The 15,338-nt window shown below is 37.9% G+C and overlaps 1 long non-coding RNA gene across 1 annotated transcript; it reads left to right on the top strand.

Moving 5' to 3' along the window:
* The first annotated feature begins 3,487 nt into the window (after positions 1 to 3,487).
* Positions 3,488 to 14,742, top strand: LOC124904452 (uncharacterized). The gene is made up of 2 exons (XR_007066725.1): positions 3,488 to 3,782; positions 14,491 to 14,742. It is a non-coding gene; the product is annotated as an uncharacterized LOC124904452 (long non-coding RNA).
* The last annotated feature ends 596 nt before the right edge of the window (positions 14,743 to 15,338 follow it).

Here is a 15,338-nt window from a genome sequence, read left to right as displayed (position 1 = left end):
GGTTTCTACTGTCATTCAAATGTTATTGCCTGCATCACAGCATCCAGTGTTTCAGGGAGCTTGGGCCTCTGGTTTCTCGAGAATTGCTCATCTTTGAGTCCTCACTTCAAGAAACTGTCTCTAACAGATGCCACTAACTAAAAAGCAAAACAAAGACAAATAAAATAAAAAGGTGAATTTAGCTCACAGTATCCTCCTTTGCATTCACCGTGTCCTTTACATCTTTCTATATTCTCACCAACAATACTTTATTTCATAGGTCTGTCTTTCTTACTAGACTTTGGGCACTGTGAAGACCAGGACTGTCTTATTCATTGCTTTTTTTGGTAAAGCATTTTTCTTATTGCAGTAAATATATGGAACATAAACTTCTTAATTCTTTTAATTGACAAATAATAATTGTACATATTCATGGGGTACATAGTGATGTTTTGATATGTATAATGTATAATAGTGATCAGATCAGGGTAATTAACACGCCCATCATCTCAAACATTTGTCATTTCTCTGTGTTGGGAGCATTCAATATCTTCCTTCTTGCTATTTGAAACCTTATAATGTATTGTTATTAACTATAGTCATCCTATACTGGTATAGGACACTAGAACCTATTCCTCCTATGTGGCTGTAACTTTGTATCCTTTAACACATTTCTCCCTAACTCCCTCTTCCACCTACCCTTCCCGGCCTCTAGTATCCTGCATTCTACTTTTCATTTCCATGATTAACTTCTTTTAGCTTTCACATATGAAAGAACGTGAGGAGTTTAACTTTCTATACCTGCCTTATTTTACTTAACAAAATGTCATCCAGTTATATCCATATTGCCATGAATGACAGGATTTTATTCCTTTTTGTGGCGGAATGGTATTCCACTGTGTATATATGCCATATTTTCTTTATCCATTCATTTGTTGTTGGACACCTAGGCTGGTTCCATATCTTGGCTATTATTAATAGTGCTGCAATAAACATGAGAGTGCAGATGTTTCTTTGAAATAATAATTTCCTTTTCTTTGGATAAATTCCCAGTAGTGAGATTGTTGAATGACATGGCCATTCTAGTTGTAGTTTTTTTGAAAAACCTTCATATTATTCTCCATAGTGCCCACTTTAAAATACACAATTCAGTGGCATTAATTACATTCACAGCATTGTGTGTTCATCACCATTATCTATTTCCAAAGTGTCTTACTCAACTGTTGTATCCTTATAACAGTGTATATCCTTATAACAGTGTATATCCTTATAACAGTGTATATTAAAAGTGTTCTTTTAATCAATATTTATTTAATGAATTTCAGAATTGATACATGAATTAATCCAACAGTTTAGACTCTGACTATAAATACAAAGCAATTAAGATTTCCTTTGCTGCTATGCAAACAAGGACAGAGAATAGAGGCTGTAAAATTGAAATGAGATGTAGATAGTTGGGGGGGGGGGCACTACATCAAAGGAAATAGCTTTAGAAAGAGAAGCTGTGCTAATGAGGAATCATAAGGCATGTTTTTGGTGAAGAAGCCACATGACAGAACTCAATGAGTTCCACAAGTGGGTGACAGAGTCCCTTCCCAATAGACAGCTTTCAATGGAGGCAGGCCTGATGATTCTTTGCAGGTGGTTTGACTCCTGAAGCTGTCCAAGAAGTACTCAAAATATTTTTGACATTTAATAAGCCTTTTTCTCCACCTACTAAGAAGAGGACAGGCTGGTCCTACTACTATCTGTGGGGATGGAAAATAAATGGACAGTAATAACTCCTCTTTGTGCTTCATTAACGTGCAATCATCAGGGCAGCAGGCGTAGAATGAAGGCCAGTGTTGACTGGATGTCACAGTGAGAGGACAATTCTGTAGGTCAAAATGGGAGAAGAGGCAGAATAACAATCAGAAATTGTAGGTCATGTGGAAAAATTAACAAAGGTTGCTTTTATTCTAGTGATATTTTCCAATTATGTTAAGCGCACTGTCTAACTTGCTAACATCCCCCTTGCTTCCCACTGCACTAAAAGGAACTAGTTATCTGACTGTGCGATGAACCAGGAGACCTGGTGTGTCCCAGCCCAAAGGCTGAGGAAAAATGGCCCACAAACCATTCCTTACAATGGAATAGAGTAGAAAGGGTCAGAAGATACTGTCATAAGGCCCTACTCAGCCACCTACTGGTTCTATTACTTTTGGGGGGGTTATATGTTTATATTCATGCAGATTTATATGACCCTTATAATAATTATTATAAAACAAGCTCAATACGTTATTGTCTAGCTTTTTCTCCTCCTTCACATAACTGCTTGGTCCACTCCTGACCTAAACAAACAAATCTAAAAAGAGCTTACAACATCCCCCTCAATGGGTACGAGTGTGAATATTTTGTATAGGAACGAGATTCATGGTTAACGTTAACCCACATGAAAGCTCTTCCCACTGTTGGAAGAGAAAAACAGATTTTCACTCAATGTCTTCTCAATTGCTAGGTTCACTTCTTCATGGGAAAACACCCCACAATTATGGTAGTTGCTGCCAAGAGAATAATGGTAACAAAGAGAAAAGAAACAGTTATTATGGAGTTTGTCCAGAAATCCATCCCTATTATGTAACAGCAAATGATACAATTGATTCCCTCAAACTTGGGCCAGGAGACTTTTTTGGTAAAATGCAGCCAATCCACTGATTCTTTCTCCTTGTGTATTTCCCTACTCCTGTTCCAAACTAATCTGCATACCTGTATACTTAAGAGAACCTGGATCAGGATCCAGAACCTCCCAAAATGTTAATTAATATATTATATATTATATATACACACATATATATCAGCTTAAATACACATACTTATATATTTAAATATACATCAGCTTATATATAGAGAGAGCGCCATATATATATACACATATATATATCAGCTTAAAGTTACTAAAAATATATTTTATCCAAATGTTATTCATAAATTTAAAATTCAGTATCTATAGGCATTTGCAAATGCCATATAAACGTACACGAAGGCAATTTATAGCTTCTCTAGTACTAAATAGTTTTAATCCCTAAAATGATCCTCAAGAGGAAGACACAGGGATAATCAAAGCAAGATTGGCTTAGGGTCAGGGCTTATGTTAGGCACACATTGGTGGAGAGCTAATGGATCTTCCTTTGAAATTCTACCTTTATCTCCTTTTAAAAAGTCAATGAATTAATTTGTTATTACTCATGAAAACTTTTCTACAGATTATTTTTTCGCAGAAAAATAGAATGGTGGGATCTGAGAAAGAGAAAGAAAAAAGAGAGAGTGGAAAGTTTTCAAGAGCTGGAATTTTTGTAAGGCAGAGGATGAGAAAAGTGTGGGCCAGGGCAGGGCAGGTAAGTGGTGACACTAAGGAGGAATTGCCAGCTTGGGTGTACAATAAAGTTTAATGGGAAGGGTGCCCCAAAATAATTTCATTGCAGGATCTGGTCCAAGACCAGTTCTGACTCTCATCACCCTTTCTCTAGCATGCTTTCACTCTGCAGCCCTCAGCTCCCAGCCCCTTACACTGGTTTCCCTCTTGAGCATTATCTGCTCAGTGATGACCTCTGATCCATTCTGCCAATAGTTATCCCAGACTCTTTCTGTCTCTCTACAGAGAGAAGGTGTGGGTGGACAAAGCAAAGCAGAGCCCTGACCTCACACCAGCTGGCTGAGCTGTCTTGGCTTGCATTTGCTGTTCCAGCATTTGTGGAGTTTGAAATCTGCATGCTTGGAGTGCGGAGAGCTGGATCTTGCACCACAGTCTCCCTGTGGGCTCTTGAGTAAGTGCTTTTAGCAGCTAGGGAAGGTGGACACAGAAAGGGAGGGGAAGAAGAGGAGTTAAGAGTATTTGTGTAGTGTGATCTGAGGGACAGTTAATAGCCCTCTCTCCTCACAATCATAAAATAAAAGTATCTTTCCCAAGAGGCACCATCGTGTTAAAAATGCAACTATTAGAAATACACTCAGTTCAGTAAAGCGTTGCTCTCTCCTCTCGATTCTTATCTTCCCTTATCAATATAAATATCCTTAGGAAGTATCATACCCGAGTCACTGATACTTTAGCATACATAATCAGAAAACATTCTTCAGTCCCAGAATTTAGATGATCACTGTAGCTACTGGGTTGAGATGCTTTTAGGAAGAAATTGATGAAGGAGGATAAGAAGAAAAGGACAGCACAGAAAAGGCAGAAAGGGACGTCAAGACAATCTTCACTGACTTAGCAGGACCTCCAGGCCCACTCCAAAGCCACGCTACAAAGATCTCTTCCTCTCGTCTTCAGTGGCACATGTTATGGGGCCATTCAATCTCAGTAAGTGAGTGCATGAATGTCTGTTTAGTAAGTATTCTGTATTCTAATGTATACTAAGTATGTAGTAAGTATGCTAGAAAACTGTCTTGTTACAAATATGATTTTACCTGCGATCCCGTGGAGGGGTGATCAGAGAAAAAGAAGAGTTCAGAAAGTACCTTTCATCTCACTCCAGAAACTACTAAAAACTACTAATTTTCTTCTCCAGGTATTGAACTGATACATTGTATTTCTCCCAGAAAAGATTAAAATTGTATCCACAGAGGCAACCTCAAAACAGAGTTGATTGTTGTTCTGGAAGCAGGCTGATACATTTTTTATGATTGTAGGACAAAGTCAAGTATGAAGTTTCTCCTGGTCTATTCTAAGATACAAAGTATAAATCAATTTTGGAACAATCCACTTGCCCGCAGCCACAGACAGAAAATAAGCTTTCCATGGAAAATGAAGGGAGAAGGTGTGGAGAACTTGGGTGATGCAGCAGAAGAAACAGAAAGCCTGCGAGTACGGGCAGGGGCATTCCAGAGTCACCAGAAGTGGAACGTGCAGTTCTCCCTGCTGATTGCTTATTAGTGTCCCCCAAGATTCATTCTTGTTCTGACACCTTCAGGAAATTTATAGATCAATCTTTTCTTTTTTTAATTTGATGCTGCCATAAAAGCACTGTATGGTGCTATGAAGGGACAAACAGCTTCCTCCATAATATCTTGGCAAAGAAGAGAGCTCCAAAAGAATCCCTGAGGGACCCAGGTGACCCAGTCTGTGTTCATTTCTACTCCACATTCAAGTCACATAGCTCTGGTATCCTTATGGATGACTGTTTTGCTTAGAAATAAAAATCTGTGCTCTGACATTTCTTAACTCTGAAAATAGTGACATGGTCGTTTCCCAAAACCTCTTGAGCCTGTAATCCATCAGTTGTACTTGCAGGCTTAGACTTACATAATTTGAAGGAGTTTGGGTCTTTCCCAAATATGTTACTGAAATGGAAATCCCACAAATGAGAATGGATTCTAATTCATCTCAAGTCATAATTTAGATTGGGAATTGGCACTTTTTCTGTAATGAACCACACAGTAAATATTTTAGGTTTTGCAGGCCAAATGGTCTCTGTTGCAAATACTCAACTTTGCCCTTGTACCTTGAAAGCAGTCACAGATAGTGCATAAACAAATGGGTGTGCCTATGTTCTAAAAAGCCTTTATTTATGAAAGCAAGCAACAAGCGGGATTTTCCCAGGCCATGGTTTGCTGAGCCCTGCTCCAGATGGCTCTTTGCAACACCCACTTTCTTTTATTTTTCTGTGCTACCTATTGCCACTATCTGAGAGTTCTGAAAGTTTCTAAATTTACATAAATTGTCTATGCATTGGTATGATTTTCTCAAAATTGCAGTATAAACATGTGCTTTTCAATTTCTTTTATCATATCTTTATAGATTAAAAAATACACAATAAATTCTACCTGGCTGCATTCTAATAATTTTTCTGAACTCACGAGCATATTTTTATGTAGCTGTGATTTGTACATGTATTCTATTTCTCTATTTTGTGATTTATACTCAATATTTTTTGTAGAGACATTGTTATGTATTGATATATTCTGCTTACTTATTATAAAAGATTTTACAGTATTTCATTACATTTATAAAGCTGGCTTGCTAAATATTCTCCTACTGTTAAATATTTGGATTTTTCCATTTTTTTTCCGTGAGCTAAATAGGGCTACTGTAAAAAATCTTGATATGAGTGACACACAAGGAGGTTAAAATCCAAATGTAAAAGCTAACTAGCTCCAAGCTGTACTAATAATTGTGTTTGAAACATGGTAACATTACATACTCAAAAACATAGCCAGATGATTTTTTAAATTGTAAATTCATTGGATTGCTCTATCACAACATCACATGATCTGTCAGAAGACTACCCTATGCAACTTTTACTGAGATATGGGTTTTGATCTTACTTTTTTTTATATTCTGTAGTTCCCTACAAATATTACATATTTCCTCTCAGATTTGATGATGTATCTCAATATTGCTATACAAATCAGCTGTTCTGATGGCTTAAATACTTCAATCTATGTTCAAACAATGTACTTAAGTTTCTAAATAAGATAGTTTCATTAACATTGCCAACAATCTCATAATTAATGTCCAGATACTGTCATACTCAAGCTCAATAGTTTGTTTTTCCCAACGGGAGAGAGTTGAATTTCAAGATTGGTAGCAACTTTTCCTTAGCTCAGAGCTCAGGTATTGGGCTTGGTATTTCCAGAGCCAGCAGTAGATTCTTGCCTTTTAGGCCTATGGGCCATTGAGGTATAAAGTAGCAGAGAGGGCTGGGTGGGGACACTGTAACGAACCATTCTGAGGCTTTTAATTTTTTTGGCGAGAAAGAGCTTGCTCAGCTGCCTCTCACTAAATCACCTACTTAAAATGATTGAGACAACTGAGCATGCTAATATACTGATTCATAACTTTTTTTATCTGTTTGCATCTTCAGATCTTCAGGCGCCTAAGCCAGCAAGAGATACCTTTATAGAGAAAGGACATGTAGCCTAGATCTGTGCTTCTCAATTATCATTGGTAAAGAACCTTTTTTTTTTAATTTTCAAAATGTCACCCACCACTACTTTCATAAAATACAATAAAAATAATTATCAAAAAATAAATAAAAATCAGACATGCAAGATACCAGCCCCCAATTTCACACTTATAACTAGAGATCATTTAAAATTTTTATTATAATTAATATAAATATATTTATTCTATATTTATTACATACTTCTGTTGGATGTTACATTACATTAGCATTAAATAAATATAATCAGAGCAAACAGCATAGGTAAAAATATTAAGACTGTCACTTTTTAATTGAAAAGGTCATGTTTTTCATTTTTTATTGAAAGCTTCTGTATACATAAATAATACAGACTTTACCTAGCCTATGGTGAACAGGTCTGAGGCCTACACTTTTAGTACCACCAGTGTGGAAGGCCTGGCCAAAGCTTTAGCTCCAAAAATACCTGGTCTTTTCTCAGTCTCTTACTATCTGTGTGACTTTGTGACAATTCACTTTTTTTTTATTTTGAGACGGAGTCTTGCTGTCACCCGGGCTGGAGTGCAGTGGCATGATCTTGGCTCACTGCAAGCTCTGCCTCCCGGGTTCATGCCATTCTCCTGCCTCAGCCTCCCAACTAGCTGGGACTACAGGCGCCCGCCACCATGCCTGGCTAATTTTAGTATTTTTAGTAGAGACGGGTTTCACTGTGTTAGCCAGGATGGTCTTGATCTCCTGACTTTGTAATCTTCCTGCCTTGGCCTCCCAAAGTGCTGGGATTACAGGCATAAGCCACTGCACCCAGCCCTTTTTTTTTTTTTTAAATACTTTAAGTTCTGGGGTACATGTGCAGAATGTGCAGGTTTGTTACATAGGTTTACACGTGCCATAGTGGTTTGCTGCACCCATCAAACTGTCATCTACATTAGGTATTTCTCCTAATGCTATCCCTCCCCCAGTAGCCCCCCCAACAGGCCCTGGTGTGTGATGCCCCCATCCCCACGTCCATGTGTTCTCATTGTTCAGCTCCCACTTACGAGTGAGAGCATGTGGTGTTTGGTTTTCTGTTCTTGTGTTAGTTTGCTGAGAATAATGGTTTCCAGTGTCATCCATGTCCCTGCAAAGGACAGGAACTCATCCTTTTTTATGGCTGCATAGTATTCCATGGTGTATATGTGCCACATTTTCTATATCCGGTCTATCATTGATGGGCATTTGGGTTCCAAGTTTTGTGAACAGTGAATGCTATTGCTATTTTGAACAGTGCTGCAATAAATATATGTGTGCATATGTCTTTATAGTAGAATGATTTATAATCCTTTGGGTATATACTCAGTAAGGGGATTGCTAGGTCAAATGGTATTCTTAGTTCTAGATCCTTGAGGAATCACCACACTGTCTTCCACAATGATTGAACAGAAGCACAGACTATAAGGCAAAAATTGTTGATCTGACTACAAAGACATTAAAGATTTTTGTTCAACACAGGCACAATTGACAGTGTTAACAGATGTGTACCATACTAGGGGAAAATATTTTTAAAGTTTAAAATAAATGAGATTAATACTTAGATTATAAAAGCAATTCCTACTAACAATTAGAGAAAAAAATAGGAAAATGGGTGAAGGATGTGAATAAGAAATGCAAAAAAGAAGAAATCTGAAGGACTACAATTAGATCAAGAGATTCTCAACCTCACCAATAAGAAGAGACATAAAAATCAAAGCAACAATAATATACCATTTAATACTCATTCAATTAGCAAAAGTTAAAAAGTTACACGACTTCAAGTTTTCAACAAGTTGGGGGAAACAGAAACCTACATAAATGGCTGGTAGGAGTGGGAGCTGGCACAATCTTTCCAAAAAGTAAACCGGCAGCTTTTAGTAATTAGTTTCTGTGTACCCTACAATATAGCAGTCTCTCTCCTGGGAATGTGTCTGAGAGATTTTCACACAGGCCTGTAAGACACCACATAGAAAAATGAACACAGCAGCATTATTTGTTAGAGCAATAGTTGTCCATCAGCAGATGAAATAGAATTCAGCTGTCAGATGCGATAAACTAGTGAATATACATCAGAACATAACATTGAATAAAGAGATAAAAGAATATAATGAGACGCTGCGTATGATGTAAACTAAAAGCTTATACATGGCCAGGCGCGGTGGCTCACGTCTGTAATCCCAGCACTTTGGGAAGCCAAAACAGGGGGATCACAATATCAGGAGTTTGAGACCAGCCTGGCCAATATGGTGAAACCCTGTCTCTATTAAAAATACAAAAATTAGCTGGGCGTGGTGGTGAGTGCCTGCAGTCCCAGCTACTCTGGAGACTGAGGCAGGAGAATCTCTTGAACCCGGGAGGCAGATCTTGCAGTGAGCCGAGATCGTGCAACTGCACTCCAGCCTGGGTGATAAAGCAAGACTCCGTCTCAAAAAAAAAAAAAAAGAAAGAAAAAAAGCATATACACAAAACACTACTAGATATCTTTCACAAATACGTATGTATCAAGAGTATGAAGAGACATACATTAAACATCTTAGAGGGAATGTATACTAAGTGGTAAGGAATGGGAATAGGGAATGAGAGATGAAGGGGAAAACTAAAATAAACTAAGAAAGGGGCTTTATGGGATCAAACATAAGAGTGTGCCAGGAATTGAAATAAGAGTATGAATAAATGAAATCTCTGAATCTAAAATCCAAAAAGTTAAAAAAACAAAAAGGCACACATAATATGGAACAGGTTGCTATAAGAAGGCACACTTGGTCTCTGCATAAGTTTCTCCTAAGCACATGGGAACACATGAGCCTCACAGGATATAAAGTGCAAATCAAGACCCTGTTCTTAAATTCATGAACTATGATTCTCTTTAGACTGTTCTCCTTCAATCTCTTGAAGCTCTTTTCAGTTCTACAACAGTGGTGATAATTAGCCAAGTGGGGAGGGGAGGGCATAATTCCACTTTTCCTGAGAAGCTGGTGACAAAGATTCCCCCTGGCAGAGGTATTTTAGAAACATTGATTGTGTTCTTGTATTTTCCATGTTTCCCTCTATGTGCTGGCAGTAGCAAATGTCTTTATCGTGGCTGTCATCCAGAGAATTCGAAGCCAGAGCTCTGCTCTGGGCATACATCCAGAAGAGTGATGTGGATTCCATGGCTGAAGAGCCCCAAAGTTTAAGGAGGGCCCAGAGGTTATGCTGACTGCCTCTTCAAGCCTTTACAAGTTGAAGAGGGAGAAAAGCTGAAAGCCCTTGGTCTTTCTCAAGGCCGTGTGCGGCCTTACTTTGATTTTTGTTCTGGGACAGGATGCCTAGATGTTTAGAAGTGTTTTAAGAGCAAGAGGTCAAGCATCACTCTTGAGGGGCCAGAGTATAGTGGGGAGACTATACATCTGTGTTTTAGATTTTGCTCTACCTCCAAATTGGATATGAAGATTAATTGGGTAGAATTTTCTCAACCCATTGCATTCCTTACCATTTAGTGTACATTCACTCTGAGATGATGGCTAGAATTTCATGAGCCCTGTGTTTATGAAACGACTGAAGTGTGTTCATCTTTTTAGCACAGAAGAAACACCACTCATTGACAAAGAAGCAGCTACTCACGAAGAGGGATAAAAAGCATCTGAAATTCCTTCCAATCTCACATCAAATGTCTTCCAATACACTGAAAGTCCCATTATTTTTATTGATAGTAAAAATTTTCATGTTAAGTATTTATAGTTATTATTTATAAACAAAATTTTATAGTTTTAACCAAATTGCTAAGAAGCTATTATTCCCATTTTATAAGTAAAGAATGGTCTTAGCAAGAGAGGTTACCCTCCTTGACCAAGATGACACAGCTAGGATATAGCAGAGCCAGGATGCAAGCCAGGTCTACATGGATGCATGTGTACAGCTTTATAGCTTATTAGTGTTGCTATTAAAAGCTTTCGCTAAGATAATACATATATTTTATGCAGCAACTTGGAAACTAAGACATTCTCAAAACTTCTGTAAGATTATTTTTTTAATTTTTAAAAATTTTTTGTGGGTACATAGTAGGCATATATATTTATGGGGCACATGAGATACTTTGATGCAGGCATGCAATGTGTAATAATCACATTATGGAAAATTGTGTATCCATCCCCTCAGTATTATTAATTGGTTCAAACTAGGCAGATATGATCTCAAAACCAGATCCTTGAAAGAATGAAGCACAGAAAAATTTAAAAGCTTTCAAGCTTTGGATTACTCATCACCTATAGAGCAAAATAGTGCCCTGCAAATAAGAGACCCCCTCAATACAAATTCCCGTCCCCTCCTGCCTAGCTTGAGGTGCACAGTAGATTGTGAGGGACAGAAGACTGGATACCAGAGGCCTTGGAATGTAGGAAAGGGGACACAAAAACCGAAGGCAGTCTGAAAAGGTGATAAGAGATCTTCCATGGCAAACAGAACCTGTTTTTCCATTCTTCCCGAAGGTCAGGCCTTACTCTGTTGACGCAAGGGCTGTTTTCTGTGTCATTTTCTAGCTAAGGCTGATGGTCCCTAAGCACGGCACAGATTTTGATTCTTTCTCATCACTTCAAGGTCTATCTAAAGATTCTGCTGAGAAGGAGCTTATAATTTTTGCATTGTTATGGGTTAAACATATCAACTTTCATTTGATAGGCAAAATGCCCTGTGATAACACGTAACAATAATTACAGTTGCAGTAATAGCAACCATTAAGGAAATGTTTAGTATGTGTCAAATGCTGTGAAAAGTGCTTTATATATATACATCATCTCACATGATCCCCTCAACAGCCCTCAAAAGATGATATCATTACTTCTACTTTACATAATTGAAAATAAAGGCCGGGTGCGGTGGCTCATGCCTGTAATCCTAGCAGATTGGGAGGCTGAGTTGGGCAGATTGCTTGAACCCAAGAGTTCAAGACCAGCCTGGGCAACAAGGTGAAACTGTCTCTACAAAAATATACAAAAATTAGCCAGGCTTGGTGGCACACACCTGTAGTCCCAGCTTCTCGGGAGACTGAAGTGGCAGGATTGCCTGAGCCCAGGAGCCGGAGGTTGCAGTGAGCCAAGATCATGCCACTGCACTCCAGCCTGAGTGACAGAGTAAGAACCTGTCTCAAAAAACAAAGCAAAAAAACCCCCCAAAAACAGTCAAGTAATTTCCCCTTGACCATCTATCTAATGCCTGGTGGAACTAGAGCCAATTTACTTCAGACTCCAAATACCATATTATTGACCCTTATATTTTAACTTTGTTACTAATACCCTAATCATCTATGATCTAGGGAAACTGAGGCACAAGGTGTTGATTCATTAAGGTAACAGTTTGGAGTAGATGGGGTGGACTTGTGATTTAAAAACATAAATTTTGCTTCTTAATTGTCCATTCATTCATGTAACTAATATTTATGATGAGGAACAATTAATGCTGCATTCTATTTATTAGTAAAAATATCTGCAGTAAAGTATAACTGAACATCATAAACATGTTAATAATAAATAACAAAATAAATATTAAATGCAATCATAAATGATATTTCCTACACAACTTATTGCTTTCCTTTAAAAAGCCTTCTTCAGTTTCCTCTAAACCATCATTTTTTAATCTGAGGCCCCACAGGATTCATAGATAAAATTTGAGGAAGGGAAGGGGTGATGTACATGGAGTTGGTTTGGAAAAAACTGACCTTTTTATTTCACTAACATCTAATTGAAATTTGCTGTTCTTCAATTACAAATATTGGCAACAAACTACTGTAGTATTTAGGAATATCTCCAACTTAATCACTATGCATATTTTAAAGTATTATTTTGCAGCTGTTACAGATATCTTGAAATAGCATTGATGTTCATCTCTATTTGGAAACTATAATTGTTATTAGATATACTGCTACATATATTTATCTAATACTTTAATAAAGACATATATTCCTATAGCATAAATATTTTAATATTTGATAACTGCATTTCAATGTAATTTGTCTCTTTTGCAACCTTACGCCATTTATGTATTTGACAACAATATTGAGGAAAGTCCATGGACTTTACCATAAAAAAGTTTGAGAATTCCTGTTCTAAGTCATGTAATAGAGGTAAACTTTCTTGTAAACAGGAGTTGGAGTGCATAGAGGATAACTGTGCCTGATCTCTGCAGAGCAAGAAGGTCCTAAGCCTGAGACCACTCCTGTCCATGGACAGAAAACTCAGCAATTGGTGTCTGTCCAAATATTGACTGAGACTCAGGGCCCTGCAGTGTTGGCTGGTCATTCAGGAGTTTCGTACTGACACCTGGAGAGCTTTTAAAAATACCTATACCTTAAATGAAATTAATGAAATCAAAATCTCTGGAGGTTAGGCCTGGGCATTGGCATATTTTTAATAACTCTAGGTGACTCCAAGGTGTTGTCAGGGTGACAACTATTGGATTCAATTATAAAAGGCCTTGTAGACTGTGCTAAAAAGTTTACATTTACAAAAAATCAAGGAGGTTTAAAGTAGGGAAGTGACGATGAAATTTGTGTTTTAGAAGTGTCATCCTACTCATATAGTCTGGAAGATGGAATAGAAAACTACAAAGCAAGATTCAGGCAAAGAGGTTATTGCAATAATCCAGATGAGAGATGAAGATTAGCAATGGTAAACTAAAGCAGTGTCATTGAAGATGCAGGGGTCAGGATAGATGAATATTAATTGAGAATATTAAGGCAATAAGTTGATTGCATGCAGGGTGTAAGGGAGAAGGAGGAACAATTGGTGACTGGAGGTTTCTGGCTTGACACAATGGGGAGATGTGGTAATATTCCCCAATAAATGGAATGCAGGAAGAGCAGTGGGAATGAGTGAGGAAATGATACAAATATGAGTTGAGTTGGACAGGACACCCATGTGGGCATGTCCAATAGTCCACTGGAATGATGGCTAGAAGCTGAAAAGAGAGGTGTGAGCTGGAGATAATTATTTAAGAGTCACCAAGCCCAGAGAGTAGCTGAGATCAACAAGAGAGAAGAAAGTGAAGGATGGACCCCTAATAGATAATCATATTCAAGGTACAGGCTGAGAAAGGGAAGCTGTCCTCCAAGACAGAGAAACAGCAACCTAAGATTTGAGAAGAAAAGCAGAAGGCAATGGCATCTAATGGAAAAGGGGAGAAACTTTCATAAAAAAGAGGTGATCAGGAGATCCCAAAGCTACAGAAAAGTAAACGATAATAGAGAGTTATGGATAATCTCTTTTTTGAGTAGAAGTTAGGTATCAAGCACTTCACAACTCTTTCAGTGAGGAATTTGGGGGCAATAACTACAATAAAAATTCTGATTTTAATCATAAGAACTTCTATTGTTTCATATATCAAGAAGTCTGTGGAGAGAAGACTCCCATGATAGTACACTAGGGCTGATTAGGATTTACTCCTGAGCTGGGCTAGGGTCACCATCCAGGAGGGTATCCAGCCACCTATAAAAATTTTAAGTTTTTCTTAACCAGTAGAAAGGAGGAAATGAATGTTGGATAGGCAACAAATAGTGTCTGCTACAAATGTTTTTCTTCACGTGTATCCTCGCAATGGTTGTGCAAGGTAGAGATTATTACCTCCTCTTTTACAGATGAGAAAACCAGGGGAAGCAGAGGTAAGAACCTGTTCAAGAAGGCACATCTCAGATGTGGAAGAACCATGATTCAACTCGAGTCTGTCTGCTTCCCAAGACTGTGGTATTTAAACAGCTTATAATGAAAATTCCTTCTATAGCTCCCCATAAAAGGGCACACAGTTCTTTCTTAACGTATTATTTCAGGCATTCATTCACCATTGATGTATTTGTGAAGGTGTTCTCTCTAAATAAACTATTGGGACCTTACTTGACTGTGACTTCATCAGTTTATGACTAATTATTTCTCCAACTTGTCAAGATTATTCAGAATTCTAATTTTACTCTGCAAGGCGTTAGTCATTTCTTATACTGCAGGATTAACCAGAGAGAGACACCCTCTTAATAACATGTTTCAAACTGTTACTGCAGATACCTGTGAGCTGGGTGGCCAGGACTACTCCCGGAGCGTGATTCATGGTGCATCCACCTCACAGTACAGTGGCCTCTGGGACTGTGTTTTCCTAGCTTGCTAGCAAGTTTGCTGCAATACAGTCATATGTCATATTGATGATAAGATAGGCAATATTTATTACTTATTTTAGCTATAGAGCAGCTTATCAATCTACCACAGAAGAATATTAAATTGGTTTACATAAAATGGTTTTGAAACTGGTTTATCCTAAACATCTGTGATCATCCACGTTAGCAAATTCATCATTTGAGTTTCTCTAGGGTCTTTCCAGGAAACCGGGACACAGTGATTGATCAACCGTGTCCAAGAAATCTTTCTTTACTTTCTCTTGTTTCCCTACATCTTCTTTCTTTTCCTGACACACCTTGCCTTTTATTCATTCCTCTGAATC

Source organism: Homo sapiens, chromosome 1, assembly GCF_000001405.40.
Source record: "Homo sapiens chromosome 1, GRCh38.p14 Primary Assembly".
Lineage (NCBI taxonomy): Eukaryota > Metazoa > Chordata > Mammalia > Primates > Hominidae > Homo > Homo sapiens.
Note: the sequence above shows the minus strand (reverse complement) of the source record. Positions and strands in the feature narration are given on the sequence as shown.